The 18,440-nt window shown below is 41.7% G+C and overlaps 1 protein-coding gene across 6 annotated transcripts in view; it reads left to right on the top strand.

The window, feature by feature from the left end:
• The window catches only part of EIF2AK2 (eukaryotic translation initiation factor 2 alpha kinase 2), a 57,771-nt gene that overhangs the window by 31,128 nt on the left and 8,203 nt on the right, over positions 1-18,440 (top strand). For 4 of the 6 annotated variants that reach the window (XM_011532987.3, NM_001135651.3, NM_002759.4 and 1 more), the window contains 5 exons: positions 3,189-3,347; positions 5,714-5,894; positions 10,994-11,122; positions 16,558-16,659; positions 18,326-18,379. In XM_011532987.3, the coding sequence (XP_011531289.1) occupies positions 3,189-3,347; positions 5,714-5,894; positions 10,994-11,122; positions 16,558-16,659; positions 18,326-18,379 (625 nt within the window). The remainder of the gene's footprint in view (positions 1-3,188; positions 3,348-5,713; positions 5,895-10,993; positions 11,123-16,557; positions 16,660-18,325; positions 18,380-18,440) is intronic. The other 2 variants (XM_047445116.1, XM_047445115.1) reach the window with 1 other exon arrangement.

Genomic DNA, 18,440 nt, shown 5'->3' with positions numbered 1-18,440 from the left:
AGATGGTAATTGTTCTCTGGTTGTCTGTTATTGTATAAGGCACTGCTCCAAAATGCAGTGCTTAAAAACAGCAATTTATTGTTGTCTCTAATGGTTCCATGGGTTGATTGTGCTCATCTGGACAATTCTCACTTGGGGTCTCAGAGGGATTTGCAGTCAGTAGTCATCTGAAACCTTGACTACAGCCTATCTTAGGCTGGATATCCAAGCTGGCTAGCAGTTGACACCGGCTGTGGGCTGGAAGTTCAGCTGGGACTGTCAATCAGAATACCTCCACATGGCCTCCCTATGGGGATTGGGCTTCTTACAACTTGGTGGCTGGGTTTCAAGAAGGATTGTCCCCAGAACAAGTCATCCAAAAGATCAGGAGTGAGTGGCAAGGCTTCTTTTGACCTAATCTGAGGAGTTCCAGAACGTCACTACCATCAAGTTATATTGGTTAAACAAGTCACTGAAGCCAGCTTAGATTCAAGGGGAGGCCAAATAGGCCCTACCCCGTAATTTGTCATTCTAGGGGATGAGTTCTAAGAATATTATTTAGGGACTGGGTGTGGTGGCTCACGCCTGTAATCCCAGCACTTTGGGAGGCCGTGGCAGGCGGATCACCTGAGGTCAGGAGTTCGAGACCAGCCTCACCAACATGGAGAAACCCCTCTCTACTGAAAATACAAAATTAGCTGGGTGTGATGGCGCATGCCTGTAATCTCAGCTTCTCGAGAGGCTGAGTCAGAAGAATTGCTTGAACCCGGGAGGCGGAGCTTGTGGTGAGCCCAGATCATGCCATTGCACTCCAGCCTGGGCAACAAAAGCGAAACTCCCTCTCAAAAAAAAATAAAAATAAAAATAATAAAAAGAATACTATTTAGGGAGGCTGAGGTGAGTGGATCACTTGAGCCCAGGAGTTTGAGACTAGCCTGGGGCAACATGGCAAAACTCCACCTCTACAAAAAATACAGTAATTAGGCCGGTGTGGTAGCCACGCCTGTAGTCTCAGCTACTTCAGAAGCTGAGGTGGGAGGACCATTTGAGCCCAGTAGGTGGAGGCTGCAGTGAGCCATGGTCACACCACTGCACTACAGCCTGGGTGACAGAGTGAGACCCTATCTCCAAAAAAAAAAAAAGAATGTTATTCAAATTATGGATTTATATCCAAGAAGATATAAATCACAGTGTCATTCATTAACAGTAAAAAGTTAGAACAAACAAAATATCCAGCAGTAAAGAAATGAGTATATATATTTTGTTCTGTCCCCTGATCGATGGCTGTTTTGCAGCCATTAAAAATGACTGGCTGGGCCAGGCATGGTGGCTCACGCCTGTAATCCCAGCACTTTGGGAGGCCAAGACAGGCAGATCACGAGGTCAAGAGACTGAGGCCATCTGGCCAACATGGTGAAACTCTGTCTCTACTAAAAATACAAAAATTAGCTGGGCATGGCAGCGTACGCCTGTAGTCCCAGCTACTTGGGAGGCTGAGGCAGGAGAATCGCTTGAACCCAGGAGGCGGAGGTTGCAGTGAGCCAAGATCGCGCCATTGCACTCCAGCCTGGGCGACAAAGCAAGACTCTTCTCAAAAAAAATGACTGGCTGGGTGCAGTGGCTCAGGCCTGTAATCCTACCACTTTGAGAGGCCAAGGCTGGTGGATCACTTGAGGTCAGGAGTGCGAGACCAACCTGGGCAACATGGAGAAACCCTGTCTCTACAAAAAATATAAAAACTAGCCAAGTGTGGTGGTGTGTGCCTGTGGTCCTAGCTACTAGGGAGGCTGAGGTAGGAGGATCGCTTGAGCCCTAGGGGTGGAGGTTGCAGTGAGCCAACATTGCCACTGCACTCCAGCCTGGGTGACAGAGTGAGACCCTGTCTCAAAAAAAAAAGGAAGAATCTAAAATAACATTATTTTAGGATTGTCAAAGTATCAGTAATTTTTTTTATTTTTGCAAATTTGTGTCATATACTTTAAAACTTCTTGCATTAAAAAATAAAATTGTAAAATGATTATTCTTCCTCATCTTTGAAATCTCCAATTTATTTACTGCACTTAGCATGGAATTTTCTTAGGTCTTGGCAACACATCCCTGTAAAGCCTTCCACCATTTCACCTTCTCTGCATAAGTTATCCTCTTTGTGTATATTTGCCACACATTGAAAATCCTGAATTAGGTACTTCACACTGCCTGGGTTACCTAGCCTTGCTGCCTAAATGTGGTTTGCTTGTGAAATACAAAGATTTTAACACAAATCTAAGCAAAACATAATGTATGATTTAGCTATGAAAAATTGCACTGGCTGGGTCCATTGGCTCATGCTTGCAATCCCAGCACTTTGGGAGGCTGAGGCAGGTGGATTGCTAGATCCCAGGAGTTTGAGACCAGCATGGGCAGCGTGGCAAAACCCCATCTCTACAGAAAATAGAAAAAATTAGATGGGTGTGGTGGTGTGCTCCTGTGGTCCCAGCTACTCAGGAGACTGAGGTGGGAGAATTGTTTGAGGCTAGAAGGTTGAGGCTGCAATGAGCCAAGATTGTGCCACTGCACTCCAACCTGGGTGACAGAGCAAGACTCTGTCTCAATAAAATAAATAAATTAATTAAAATGACATCACTGGCATTTCAAGAGTACTACAGATGATTTTTAAATTGTCTGATGCTTGGCATTAAGTCGCTGCCTTTTATTTATTTATTTTTTGAGACAGAGTCTTGCTCTTTTGCCCAGGCTGGAGTGCAGTGGTGCAATCTTGGCTCACTGCAACCTCCGCCTCCTGGATTCAAGCGATTCTCCTGCCTCAGCCTCCCAAGTAGCTGGGATTACAGACATGCGCCACTGTGCCCAGCTAAATTTTTTGTATTTTTAGTAGAGATGGGGTTTCACCATGTTGGTCAGGCTGGTCTTGAACTCCTGACCTCGTGATCCGCCCACCTTCGCCTCCCAAAGTGCTGGGATTACAGGCCTGAGCCACCGCGCCCGGCCACTGCCTTTTATTTTATCTTGAGAGTGAGAACTGCTATGTTTTTTTTCAGTATGTTCACTTTTTCCTTTTGAATGTCCTGGCTTCCATTCTAAAACTATGTGAGAACCACAGCAATGGTTTAATAAGGGAATGTAGACAGTTGTCTATTACATGAGGTGTTTTGTGGTTGTTATGAGGGATGTACACTGACACTGCCATGTTCCCTGTTCCTTTTAACTAGGAAGGCGGAGCGTGAAGTAAAAGCATTGGCAAAACTTGATCATGTAAATATTGTTCACTACAATGGCTGTTGGGATGGATTTGATTATGATCCTGAGACCAGTGATGATTCTCTTGAGAGCAGTGATTATGATCCTGAGAACAGCAAAAATAGTTCAAGGTAACTAAAAATAAATTCTCATAGCCATAATAGGATGGAAGGAAATTGTTATTTACTATGTATGGGCCACTGGATAAGGCTATTAATCATCACGATTAATTATCACAATTCCCTCTGAGAGACACTGTTATCTCTCCATTCCGAAGGTAAGGAGAAAGTGAAAATCTCTTCCTTGCTCCTCCTCTTGCTGCAGACTTGCTCTCACAACCCTCTGTTACATCCTCAGCTGTCTGCAAAATCTCAGGTTCAGCTTTCCTGACTCCATTGTTTCATGGAGAGCCTTGTTCACGTGCCGGCTTCAGCGCAGGCTGTTTAAGTGTAGTCTTGTGAAGAGAGTTTTAACATATAGATGCTGCATCTGGGGGCTCCCTCCTCAGCTACCAACACTTTTCTGTCCCTCTCTTAGGCTGTGATTGGTGTGGTGCCGTCAGAGGGTCTCTTTGGAATGTAACTATACCACTTATGCTGGGGTGGTGGGGAGTGAAAATATTTTTAAGACCACAAGCTGAGATGGGGGCACCCTCATGTTTTATGTCAGTTAAGCCATTGCCAAACAACTGGAGATCCTAAAGAGCTGGCATCTGTCTTTGAAAGTCACCCAACCTATTATGGGGACAGTCCTCTCACTAAAATCCTGAGGCCAATGGGGTCCCATTCATTCATTTTCTCCTGCCCCACCTCCATCTCCATGTCGTGTAAGTGAGAACATTATCATCAGTTCAGGAGTTATTGACCGTCAGCATACAGGACTTCAGCTTTCAGCAAATTCTTGGCTACCTCTTCCTGTTTTCAAGCTGACATATATACAAAGAATATAAATGAATATTGAGGCTAACTTAATTCAGAAAAAAAATAAAACGTGGTTAGCAAAAAAAAAAAAAAAAAAAATCAAGCCTCCAATTTATGTATCTTAGTAATTTGTTGGCACTTCTCTTAGAGTACCTTCCCTATTGTTTTAGGTTTGCTTTCCCTTTACTCTCTCCTATTAGACTATTATCCCCGTGACGGCAAGGATATAGTGTCTAACTGATTTTCTCATCTCTAGGTGCCTTTCATGCTTAGTAGATCAATGGTGAATTAAAAGGTTTCAAAGTTACTTTATATAATAATGAAATTTAGTTTCCTGCATTGTATTCATGTTCCTATTTCTATCTGTTAGCAATGGTGATTGCAGATCTTCAGCAATGAAGAATGGGTGGCTCATTTTTTTTTTCTTCTCGTTTTTTTTTTTTTTTTTTTTTTTGAGACGGTGTCTCGCACTGTCGCACAGGCTGGAGTGCAGTGGTGCAATCTTGGCTCACTGCAAGCTCTGCCTCCCGGATTCACAGTATTCTCCTGCCTCAGTCTCCTGAGTAGCTGGGACTACAGGCGCCCGCCACCACGCCCGGCTAATTTTTTGTATTTTTAGTAGAGACGGGATTTCACCGTGTTAGCCAGGATGGTCTTGATCTCCTGACCTCGTGATCCACCCGCCTCGGCCTCCCAAAGTGCTGGGATTACATGCGTGAGCCACCGCGCCCGGCCTCTTCTTTTTTTTTTTTTGAGACAGAGTCTTACTCTATCGCTCATGCGGGAGCACAATGGCGTGATCTCAGCTTACTGCAATCTCTGCCTTCTGGGTTCAAATGATTCTCGTGCCTCATCCTCCCGAGTAGCTGAGACTACAGGTGCCGCGCCACCACACCCAGCTAATTTTTGTGTTTTTAGTAGAGATGGGGTTTCGCCATGCTGCCCAGGCTGGTCTCAAACTCCTGAGCTCAAGCAATCCGCCAGTCTCGGCCTCCCAAGGTGCTAGGATTATAGGCGTGAGCCACCGTGCCCAGCCCAGCTCATATTTTATAAATTAGCTAAACAAATAAAGCTCTGGACATCCGGGAACTTATGATTGAAATAAAAAATGGCCTATTATATTTTGATTCAAATTTGTTTATTATATTTAGATTTCTATTTTGTGACATGTTTTGGGGTTCTTTTTTTTTCTTTTTTTTTTTTTTTTTGTGAGACGGAATCTCGCTCTGTCACCCAGGCTGGAGTGCAGTGGCGTGATCTCGGCTCACTGCAAGCTCCGCCTACCGGGTTCACGCCATTCTCTTGCCTCAGCCTCCCCGGAGTAGCTGGGACTACAGGCGCCCGCCACCACGCCTGGCTAATTTTTTGTATTTTTAGTAGAGACGGGGTTTCACCGTGGTCTCGATCTCCTGACCTCGTGATCCGCCCGCCTCGGCCTCCCAAAGTGTTTTTGGGGTTCTTAAGAAGATAAGGTATAAGCTTTTAAAAAGTTATGAAAAACTTTAAAAAGTTATAAAAAATTTTTTATAAATTTATATTTATTGTTACTTTTAACATACTGTGAATTTTATACCCAGGTCAAAGACTAAGTGCCTTTTCATCCAAATGGAATTCTGTGATAAAGGGACCTTGGAACAATGGATTGAAAAAAGAAGAGGCGAGAAACTAGACAAAGTTTTGGCTTTGGAACTCTTTGAACAAATAACAAAAGGGGTGGATTATATACATTCAAAAAAATTAATTCATAGAGATCTTAAGGTAAGTGGAAAATGTACTTTATTAATTGATATATATATAATATAGTAATTTTAAAATATATCTTCTCAGCTGGGCACAGTGGCTCACGCCTATAATCTCAACACTTTGGGAGGCTGAGGCAGGCAGATCATCTGAGGTCATGAGTTCGAAACCAGTCTGGCCAACATGGTGAAACCGTGTCTCTACTAAAAATACAAAAATTAGCTGGGCATGGTGGCGTGCGCCTGTAATCCCAGCTACTCGGGAGGCTGAGGCAGGAGATTCGCTTGAACCTGGGAGGTGGAGGTTGCAGTGAGCCAAGATTGTGCCACTGCACTCCAGCCTAGGTGAAGAGTGAGACTTGTCTCAAAAAAAAAAATTATATATATATATAAAATAAGATAGATAGATATATATTTTTTTCTCTAGTTTTAGAATAGTGGTTGATTGATAGTTATGAGAAAATGGTATCTGAACATTTCCATGCAAATAATTACTGTGACTGGCACAGCCAACTGGCTGCTCTGCCCCTGTTCCTCCTGCCTCCTCTAAGTGACTCAGCTTTATTTGAGAGGCAGAGGGGACTCTGTTGACTGTTGCTTTAGGAATATGGTTCCCTAATCTCTCAGTCATTACTCGCGAGGGCTGTCACAGCTACTGGGTCCAGAGTCTAATACTGTCTTGGTTAAGCATTTCAACCCCATGATTGGAAAATTGCGGTAATCCCGGACTGGGAAAGTGTATCATCCCTTAGTATTTTCATTTTCCTCTGGCTTTTATGGTCCGGACAAGGAGTTTCCCTATTTTTTACTTCTCATTAAAATGACAGAAGGTGAGAGACAGAATAGCCCTTCACAGCCTTTCCTCCATTCCCTATTCCCTGTGACTTGCCTAAGCCTGTCACAAGCTGGCCGTCCTGAATCCTGTCCCTGGACCTTTGCTCATGTTCTTCTCTCTCATGGGACACTCTTCTGCCTGCCCCCTTTGGTTGTAATTCCTTTACTGAGCCTTTCCTGATCACTCTGGAACTGCCTTTTTCTGTTCTAGGCAGAAGTACCTTATTTATGTGGCTATCTGCTTATCCCACCCCTCTAAAACAGCAAGGAATAAGGAATGAAACAAAAAAATTCCTTGAGAGAAATAAGTTCCCATATACACAGTTGTTTATTGGGCTCAGAGAGGAATGAGTAGCCCTTAAAAGGTATTGCTTCCGTGGTCTGCCCAGGGGCTGGATGTCTGATGCATTGGTGTTTTGAGTCTGTCTGGTTCCAATATGTCTCTTCTACAATATCTGAAGTTGTTCTTTGAAGGTGGAACATTGTCAGAACTATTTCAAAAGGATAAATGTAGAGTTGGTTATGCTTTCACTTTGGGATAAATCATACATATAGTTAAATAACAAATAAGCACAATTATTTCTATATAAAATAATTTGCAAATAAATGCAGAAGTGTAGGCATTAAGCTCCTAGTCCTCAGAATGAATTAGCAAAATTCTGACTGGTGCCTACCCACTTACCTGCCAACTATGCCCCACACCGTGTGTGCCCTGTGTCATGGACTGATCTTTTCTTGTGTCTATTTGCAGAGAATTTTTACTCTGGCTGCAGTTGCTCAAGGGTCAGACTTTATTATTCTTCTTAAATTTTTAATTTTTATTTTTTTTTGAGACAAGGTCTTGCTCTTTTGCCCAGGCTGGAGTGCAGTGGCACAATCACGGCTCATTACAGCCTTGACCTCCTGGGCTCAAGCAGTCCTCCCACCTCAGCCTCCCGTATAGCTGGGACCACAGGTGTACACCACCACACCTGGCCATTTTTGTGTGTTTTTTTTTTGTAGAGACAGGGTCTCACCATGTTTCCGAGGCTGGTCTCAAACTTTTAGACTCAAAGTGATCCTCCTGCCTCAGCCTCCCAAAGTGCTGGCATTCCAGGTGTGCTCCACTGCACCCGGCCTCAAGCTTTGATACTGAGACTTCTTTCATCTTCTATAACTTTTCAGGCTCTCACTACTACAGTTGTTGATTTCTCTCCTCTAAGAAAAGATACAATGAAGGTGTACAATTTTGGGGTTGTGTTTTGCAAAATAGCAGCTGTAGGTGGTTTTGCCAGAGAATGGTCTTTACCTAACACAGCCCCTCTTACAAAAGTCTCCAAGTGTTTACCACTTTCTGTTGGAATCTTAGGAACTAGACCAAAGGCGCTGGGAAGGGACATAGGGGTTTCTGGAGTGAGGGCTTCTTGTGCAAGGCTGCTTCTCTCTAAAATGTTCAGTCTCCTAAAGCCCAGGCTCTGGTCATCCTCAGCCTGAGCATCAGTCCTGTTCCTGTGCCTCCTAGGTGAAGTTTGCATCCCTTTTATATGATCTACAGCCCTATATTTTGTCTAATCATATTATAACTGATTAGACAAAATGTGGCATTATTGTTTTTATTTCTTTTGTGTTTTACAAGGTCTCACTCTGTTGCCCAGGCTGGAGTGCAGTTGTATGATCTCAGCTCACTGCAGCCTGGACCTCCTAGGCTCAAGCAATCCTCCCACCTCGGCCCCCCACATAGCTGGGACTACAGGTGCAGGCTACCAAGGCAGGCTAATTTTTGACATTTTGTGGAGACAGGATTTTGCCATGTTGCCCTGGTTGGTCTCGAACTCCTGAGCTCAAGTGATCTGCCGACCTTGGCTTCCCAAAGTGTTGGGATTACAGGCATGAGCCACCATACCCAGCTTCTTTTTCTTTTCTTTTTTTCTTTTTTCTTTTTTTTTTTTTTTTGAGACAGAGTCTCCTCTGTTGCCCAGGCTGGAGTGCAGTGGAGTGATCTCGGCTCACTGCAGCCTCTGACTCCTGGGTTCACGAGATTCTCCTGCGTCAGCCTCTCGAGTATCTGGGATTACAGGCGCCTGCCATGATGCCCAGATAATTTTTTGTATTTTTAGTAGAGACAGGGTTTCACCATGTTGGCAAGGTTGGCCTTGGACTGATGGGCCCACGCTGTCTGCCCGCTTCAGCCTCCCAAAGTGCTGGGATTACAGGTGTGACTCACCACGCCCTGCCCACTTTTTCTTTTGAATGAACTACAAAAAGTGATCTGATATTTTCACTAGATAGCCTCATCCAGCTTAGATATTTACACGGCTTCACAAATTCAATTTTCTGTTTCTTAGAGTCAGGTGATAGCCTTATGTGGGACTAGCAGTTTCACTTGCAATCCTGACATATTCCTACACATTGCAACTTGAACATAGCATAGGAATGTTTTCTCTCCACATCCACTCCACATCTGTCTACAGCTTTCCATCTGTATTACTGGTGTTAGGCTCCAATCTGACTGTTAATTGAATTCTAATCCAACTGCTAATTGCTGTATGAGCCGTCATCTCAAGCTGGCTTCTCGGAAGCTCCTCCTTCAGCCTTCCCTGGGCTTATGGTCTCTTCCCTCTTAGGTCCTTACTAGGTAGGCCCTCTCATAAGTGTGTTATCCCGTAGAGTCTGTGTGTTTAGCCTAAGATTGTATTAAAAGTCCAGCCTTTTCAAAAATAGCAAAATATTAATTTTCTCATCAACTACCTTCCTGTTTTTGTGGTCTTTAGAATATTGGTCAGTAGAGCTGGGTGTGGTGGCCTGTGGTCCCAGCTACTTGGGAGGCTGAGGTGGGAGGATCGCTTGAGCTGAGGAAGTCAAGGCTGCAGTGAGCCATGATCATGCCACTGAAATCCATCCTGGATAACAAAATGAGACACTGTCTCAAAAACAAACAAAAATAATATTGGTCAATACCTCCTATGGGCTGGGCGTGGTGGCTCATGCCTGTAACCTCAGCACTTTGGGAGGCTGAGGTGAGCAGATTGCTTGAGGTCAGGAGTTTGAGACCAATCTGGCCAACATGGTGAAAATCTGTCTCTACTAAAAATACAAAAAAATTAGCCAAGCGTTGTGGCACATGCCTGTAATCCCAGCTCCTCGGGAGGCTGAGGCAGGAGAATTGCTTGAACCCAGGAAGCAGAGGTTGTGGTGAGCCGAGATCATGCCACTACACTCCATCCTGGGTGACAGAGCGAGGCTCCATCTTACAAAACAAAACAAAACAAAACACCTCCCTTAAAAAAAAAAAATCTGCTTAAAGAATTGCATGGATAAAAATATTTCAGAGCTAGTTATTAGCTTCCAGTTAACTTGGTATGCTTTCATGGTGGAAGGGATGTGTTTGTTAAGAAGTTGTCAGAGGCTTGGAGAAAAGACCCCCAAGAGAAATTCTGCACAGGCTAATCTGCACTATTGTTGGGAATGGACCCATTCCGAGAATCTCAAAGTTGGAAGGGATCTTAAGGATGTCTGCTTCAGTCCCTATCAGATCATGGACTCATATTTGCAACATTTCCTCAAGTGGTTGTTCAGCCCTATCTTGGGATGGGGAACTGTCTAACTCCCATTCTTTGGACAACACTATTAGGATATTAGGATATTTTAAAGCTAATCTTTAGGTCATTTCCACCCTATAGTCCTGGATCTTTTCCCTTGGACCATGCAGAGTGAATCCACCTTGCACGTGACAGCTTTTCAGATATTCGAGGGCAGCTGTGCCCAGAGCCACCTCTGGTGTCAGCTAAGAAATCCTTACTTCTGTCCAGGCGTGGTGGCTCATGCCTGTAATCCCAGCACTTTGGGAGGCCAAGGTGGGTGGATCATGAGGTCAGGAGATCGAGACCATCCTGGCTAACACGGTGAAACCCTGTCTCTACTAAAAAAAAAAAAAAAAAAAAAAAAAAAAACTAGCCGGGCATGGTGGCGGGTGCCTGTAGTCCCAGCTACTCGGGAGGCTGAGGCAGGAGAATGGCATGAACCCAGGAGGCGGAGCTTGCAGTGAACCGAGATAGCACCACTGCACTCCAGCTTGGGTGACAGAGCGAGACTCCGGCCCAAAAGAAAAAAAAAAAAAAAGAAATCCTGACTTCTTTCAGCTGGCATTTTAAAGACGAGTCATATTAAATTCCCTGATTTTGGCTACCTGTGTAAGGGTAAAGGTCTTATAAATAATATAAAAATAGTCTTTTCTGTATATAATTAAGACATGTGGTAATAGTATGTTAAGTTGGTACATGTAAGTTAAATTTTTTTTTTTCATAGCCAAGTAATATATTCTTAGTAGATACAAAACAAGTAAAGATTGGAGACTTTGGACTTGTAACATCTCTGAAAAATGATGGAAAGCGAACAAGGAGTAAGGGAACTTTGCGATACATGAGCCCAGAACAGGTAAGGTCTCTTTCCTGTCTGTCTATATTTTACTTCTTTTATTTTGAAAATTATAAAAAGAGTAGACACTACTTATATAATTAAAACTGTACAGAAGTATATACTAAAAATTTTCCTTACCATTCTTTTCTACCCCTATTCTTCTTATCAGTTTATTCTTTATCCTTTTAGATAATTTTCTGAGTTATAAAAACATACAAACACAAATATACACCCAGATTTTTTTTACAGAAACATATATATGTGTACATTTTTTCAAGGACTTATTTTGTTATTTTGTGACTATATAGCATAATTTCTCCATATTAGTTCAAATAGATCTGCCACATTCTTTTTTTAACAACTGTATTATATTTCAAAATATGGAGATACCATAATTTAACTATTTTTTTAAATTTAATATTTTTTGTTGTTGTTCTTATTTTGTTTTAGAGACAGGGTCTTGCTCTGTCACCCAGGCTGGAGTGCAGTAGTATGATTATTGCTCACTGCAGCCTCAAAATCTTGGGCTCAAGCAATCTTCCCACCTCAGCCTCCTGAGTAGCTAGGACTCTAGAGGCACATACCACTGTGCCCAGCTAATTATTTTTATTTTTATTAATTATTTATTTACTTATTTATTGTAGAGACAAGGTCTCACTATGTTTCCCAGGTTGTATTTAACTATTTTCTTATCGAAGGGTATTTCTTTAGGTTGTTTACAACTTCATACACTTAGACATTCCTCCTTATTTTGGGTCCCAAGAACAAATAATTCTGTGATAATCTGTGTTAGACTTCTTGAGGTAAAGTGATTGAATAGATTGACCAGTGCATTTCAAACTTAATTGCTGTTTAATTGTCATTCTAAAAAAAGTGATTCTAATAATACTGTCCCGTCAAAATGTATGAGAATACTGCATCATCATACTCTCCAGTGATCAGTTTTGGGTAGTGTGTTGAATTAGGAGTATCTTGCTATTTTAGTTTGTATTTTCCAGATTTTTAGTAAGGTATGCCCTCTTTTCATATATTTACTTAAACATTTTCTGCAAATTCTCTACTCATATCCTTTCCCAATTTCTCATAATTAAGTTCTCATTTTCTTGTGTATCTGTAAGGAATCTTGATCTATATTGGGTGTTGATCCCGTATCTGTTAACTATATTATAGAATTTTTCTCCTTGATTGTTACTTCTTTGTTTATAATGACATTTGTGGTACTGCAGCTTTTTTTTTTTTTTTTTTTTTTTGAGATGGAGTTTTGCTCTTGTCACCAAGGCTGGAGTGCAATGGCATGATCTCAGCTCACTGCAACAACCTCTGCCTCCCGGGTTCAAGCAATTCTCCTGCCTCAGTCTCCCAAGTAGCTGGGATTATAGGTGCCCACCACCATGCCCAGCTAAGTTTTGTATTTTTAGTAAAGACGGGTTTCACCATGCTGGCCAGGCTGGTCTCAAACTCCTGACCTCAGGTAATCCACCCACCTTGGCCTCCCAAAGTGCTGGGATTACAGACGTGAGCCACCAAACCCAGCACTGCAGCTTTTAAATTGTCATATTTATCAATACGGCTGCTAGGTTTCTCATTTTTATTTTGGAGGCTTCTATTACAAGATTATGAAAATATTTTTTGGTTTTACTAACATAAAAATTAACTGCAATTTGAATTAACTTTTGTTTATGTATGAGAAAGGAATCTAACTTGATTTTCCCCGTGTGAATATGCAGTTGCTTCATCACTACGTGTTAAGCAGTTAATTATTTAAATGCTATTTTAAGGAAAATTCATAGAGACAGAAAGTGGAACAGAGGTTATCTGGAAGAAGGGAGGAATGGGAACTTCTTGTTTAATGGGTATAGCTTCTGTTTGGGGTGATGAAAAGTTCTGGAAATAGATAGTGGTGATGGTTATACAACATTGTGAAGGTAGTTAATGCCACTGAATTGTAGGCATAAAAATGGTTAAAAGGGTAAATTTTATGTTATGTCTATTTTACCACAATAAAATATTATTTTATCATATATAAAATTCCCACACATTCATAGATGTGTTTCTGGACTTTGTTCTGTTTCCTTAATTTATTTTATATTTCTCTCTTTAATATTATGCTATTTAGATTATTGTAGCATTATAAACTAGGCTTTAGTATTTGAACAGCAGGACCTGCCACATTATTCTTCAATTTAAAAATGCTCTCAGCTATTCACATTTACAATTCCAAATGAACTCTGTAATCACATTGTCATCTTCCATAACTGGTTTTGAGGTTTTGATAGCAATTGCATCAAATTTGAGGATTCAGGTGAGGAACATTGATATCTTCATATATTTGAGACTTCTCCAAAATTGGTATTTTCTCTCACTTATTCGAGTCCTCCATCAGTCAGCTTTTGCCAGACTATGCTGTGGTAACAAATGACCCCAGTTTCTTAGTGGTGCAGAAAATACCAAGGGTCTATTTCTTGCTCACATGACAAGTCGGCAGCAGTCTGGCTGGCTGCAGTTTTGCTCTGAGTGTCTCCTTCATTCCAAGACCCAGGCTGTAGGAAAAATGCTATCTGAGTCACTGCCGTCCTCAAGGCAGAAAGCAATGGCAGAACCTTGTGATGGCTTTTACATGTTCTGCTCAGCAGTGGCATACATCACTAAACATCATTGCCCAGAGCAAAATGCATGGCCCAGCTCAAGGCAATGAGGGTGGAGAAGAGTAATCCTCTCACTAGGAGGCCAGTGCAGCATTGGGGGCAATCATACAACCTACCTCAGAGCCACTTTTATACTGTTCAAAATCTATATATATATATATATAGAGAGAGAGAGAGAGAGATTTATTATGATATATATATATATATATATATATATATATATATTTTTTTTTTTTTTTTTTGAGACAGGGTCTTGCTTTTCACCCAGGCTGGAGTACAGTGGCACAATCATAGCTCACCACTGCGCAGCCTCGACCTCCTTGGCTCAGGTGATCCTCCTGCCTCAGCCCCCTCAGTAGCAGGACTACAGGCTCAAACCACCAACACCTGGCTAATTTTTTTTTGTATTTTTTGTAGAGACTGGGTTTCACCATGTTGCCTAGGCTGGTCTCGAATTCCTGGGCTTAAGCGATCCACCTGTCTTGACCTCCCAAAGTACTAGGATTACAGGAATGAGCCACGGCGCCTGGTCATATTGTTTATATTTTTGAAGCTTTCTCCAGAATCTGTATTGCATTTTGCTATTAAAATGAGATTCCATGCTTGAACCCGGGAGGTGGAGGTTGCAGTGAGCTGAGATCGCGCCATTGCACTGCAGCCTGGTCAACAGGAATGAGACTCCATCTGAAGAAAAAAAAAAAAAAAGAAAAGAAATTCCATATCTCTAATTTGTTATTAGTGTAGCCGTTAATTTTAAAAATATATCTCTTTATTTTTAATTGTGGTAAAATATACAAACATAAAATTTACCACCTTCACCATTTTTAAGTGTATAGTTTAGTGGCGTTAAATGTGTTCACATTGTTGTGCTTTCATCACCACCATACATCCACAGATTACTTTTCATTTTGCAAAACTGAAACTTTACACCCGTTAAAGAACTCCTATTCTCCTCTCCCTACAGCCCAATCAACTACCATTCTACTTTCTGTCTGTATATTTGACTATTCTAGATGCCTCATGTAAGTGGAATCGTACGGTATTTACCCTTTTGTTACTGGCTTATTTTACTCAGCATAATATCCTCAAGATATATCCATGTTGTAACATGTCAGAATTTCTTTTTAAGGCTGACTAATGAATTCCATTGTATGTATACACCACATTTTGTTTGTCCTTTTATCCATCAATGGACACTTAGGTTGCTTCCACCTTTTGACTGTGGTGAATAATGCTGCTGATGAACATGGGTGTACAGCTGTTGAGTTTTAAATATTTGTCTCATATATAGTCTCATTATTTGAATGTGATTTTTTTTTGGGTTGATTGCTTTTATTTTTTACCTTTTGGGTTGTTTATCCTATTTTAATTTCTGATTTGTAAATGCCCGTTAAAGATTATTTTGCTGACAATACAGCTTTCAAAATATCTCTACTATTTTGTCATCCAAGAATAGATATACTGAGCTATCTGATGGTTTGAGAGTCTAGAATGGAGAAGGCATGTACTTTTTCCTTTTGGGGAGCCAGTTGGCATAAAAAATATAGAACACAATAGGCCAGTGGCTCTCTTTAACTTCCTGCTGCTTTCAGTATCTCCTGCATCCTGTATTGCTGCCCTCACACTATTTGGTTAAAAACATTCATCATTGTACTTTACTTTTTATTATGTGTGTGTGGTTTTTTTTTCCATTTAAAAACCTTTTGTTGGCTGGGTGCAGTGGCTCATGCCTGTAATCCCAACACTTTGGGAGGCTGAGGTGGGCAGATCACCTCAGGTCAAGGGGTTTGAGACCAGCCTGGCCAAGATGTTGAAACTCCATCTCCACTAAAAAAACAAAAATACAGAAATACAAAACTACAAAAATGAGCCAGGCGTGGTGGCACGTGCCTGGAGTCCCAGCTACTCTGGAGGCTGAGGCAGGAGAACTGCTTGAACCTGGGAGGTGGGGGCTGCTGTGAGCCGAGACCACGCCACTGCATTCCAGCCTGGTGACAGCGGGACTCCGTCTCAAAAAAAAAAAAGGCAACATTTTGTTGAGGAACAATTTATACAGTATAAAATGCACAGATCTTAAGTGTATATTTTTTCGTTTTGACAAATGCATACACCTCTGTAACTTATAAGACTATAAAGATATAGAACATTTTGCTCCTTCAAGCTCCTTTCCAGTCAGTGCCTCCTCCCCACTGATCAGAAGAAACCAGCACTCTGAGTTCTATCACCATAGCTTAGTTCTTCCCGTTTTTGACCTTCATATGAATGGAATCATACAGTAGGTACTCTTTGTATTTAATTTCTTCATTCAAAATAATATCTTCTGGAAAAACTTTGTTGCTCATACCAGCAGAGAATTCCTTTTTATTGCTGAGTCGTAGTCCATTGTATGAATATGCCACAACATGTTTATCCATTCTTCTGTTGTGGTCCTTTGAGTTGTTTCCAGTTATGGAATATTGTGAATAAATACGCTATGAACAGTTGCAATGCAAGCCGCCTACTGGGTGCTATTTTAACTGCTTTACCTGCTGCATCTCACTCTCACAATCAAACTCTGTGGTTGATACTGTTGTTATCCTTGTTTTATAACTGAGATTATTCCCATGTTGATCGTTAATTTACACAGAGGATTCAGCTATTCGGCGGTACAGATTTGAACCTAGGCAGTCAGACTCCACAGATTTTGCTAATAAATAGACATTGTTTTGTGGTGTAAGATGTTTTGGTCAAATAACTTTTTTGGGCTTTAGAAGGCTGGATATTTATGTAAGGAGCATAACAAAGGTAAATCTATTTTGGTCTCTTTAGATTTCTTCGCAAGACTATGGAAAGGAAGTGGACCTCTACGCTTTGGGGCTAATTCTTGCTGAACTTCTTCATGTATGTGACACTGCTTTTGAAACATCAAAGGTAAAATTATCTCAAAGAAAGAATTAAACAAGAAAAATTACTGACTACCACCTTCAGAGTGCTGCTGCAGACAGTTCTTGCCCTCACGTGAGGATGGGCTTGAGCATATTAGTATCTGACTGCAAATGAAATATGAATTTTCTGTCTTTCAAGGTTTGGCAGAGACCAAACACTTTCTTAAAGACCAAAAACTTTGATCTTCCCTGGAAGGTAGTACATCTCATAAGACTTGTAAGACTTGTCAGTCAGTAACATTTTATTGATTGACTGCTTTGTGTAAGACACTGTGCTAAGTGCTGTAAGGGTTGCAAAAATAAACAAGCCTTGGCTGGGCGCGGTGGCTCACCCCTGTAATCCCAGCTTTGAGAGGCCAAGGCAGGCAGATCACTTGAAGTCAGGTGTTCGAGACCAGCCTGGCCAACGTGGTGAAATCTCATCTCTACTAAAAATACAAAAATTAGCTGGGTGTGGTGGTGCACACCTGTAATCCCAACTACTCAGGGGGCTGAGGCAGGAGAATCGCTTGAACCTGGGAGGCGGAGGTTGCAGTGAGCCAAGATCACACCACTGCACTCCAGCCTGGGTGACAGAGTGACATTCCATCTCTAAATAAATAAATGAATAAAGCCTTGTTCTCAAGGAGCTTATTTTCTAAAAGGGAAGATAATATAAGAGAATGCCATAAGCATTTTAGGAGAAGGCATGAAGTCTGTGGAAGCAGCTGGGAGGGAGATCTTTCCAGCTGTAGGGACTTAGGTTTCATGGAGACATCTAAGCTGGGCTCTGAAGGATCTGTTGGCTTCTAATAGTCCAAAACAGAAAAGTTGATTCTAGCATGGAGGCGGGAATGTACAGAGTGTATTTGGGGACAGCAGGCAGTGTAAGTTGTATTGGAGTATATAAGTTACAAGGAAGTAGTGGTTGGTGAGGCTAGAAAGATAGGTTGGGCTAACTTGAGGAAAAAATGTGGACCTTCTTGCTTAGACAGTGGGGAGTCACTAAAGGCAGTAGGCAAGTGGATATCCTACTCTTTTTTTTTTTTTTTTTGAGATAGAGTTTCACTTTTATTGCCCAGGCTGGAGTGCAATGGCGCGATCTTGGCTCACTGTAACTTCTGCCTCCCAGGTTCAAGCAATTCTCCTGCCTCAGCCTCCCAAGTAACTGGGACTACAGGCGTGCACCACCATGCCTGGTTAATTTTTTTGTATTTAGTAGAGATGGGGTTTCACCATGTTGGTCAGGCTGGTCTCGAACTCCTGACCTCTGGCAATCCACCCGCCTCGGCCTCCCAGAGTGTTGGGATTACAGGTGTGAGCCACTGCACCCAGCTGGATATCCTACTCTTAAGCTCAGGAAAGGGAACTTTCCTGGAGTCAATAACCTTATCCTCTGTAAAACAGTTAGAAGTACCTATCACTTAGGGTTCCAAAATGCATGAAGGGAGATTGTAAAGATGATGCACTTAACACTTCATGTCGTAATGCAAGGATGGTTATTAGATTGGGGGTAGTGTAGGAGAGAGGGAATCCTGCTTGCTTCTTGGCTAAAGAGACTTTCCCAAAAAATCTGGAAATATCCTACATTTCAGGTATTCCTCAGCCTTTAGTTCTGTCTTTCCTCCCAAGTAAATAATTTCCTAATATACACCTATCATTTTTTTTTCCAGTTTTTCACAGACCTACGGGATGGCATCATCTCAGATATATTTGATAAAAAAGAAGTAAGCACTTGAAAATCATCAGAATTTTATTTATTTCAATGTTTTATTTCTTACTATTGAC

This window comes from Homo sapiens, chromosome 2 (assembly GCF_000001405.40).
Source record: "Homo sapiens chromosome 2, GRCh38.p14 Primary Assembly".
NCBI lineage: Eukaryota > Metazoa > Chordata > Mammalia > Primates > Hominidae > Homo > Homo sapiens.
This window is presented reverse-complemented; position numbering and strand designations above follow the sequence as displayed.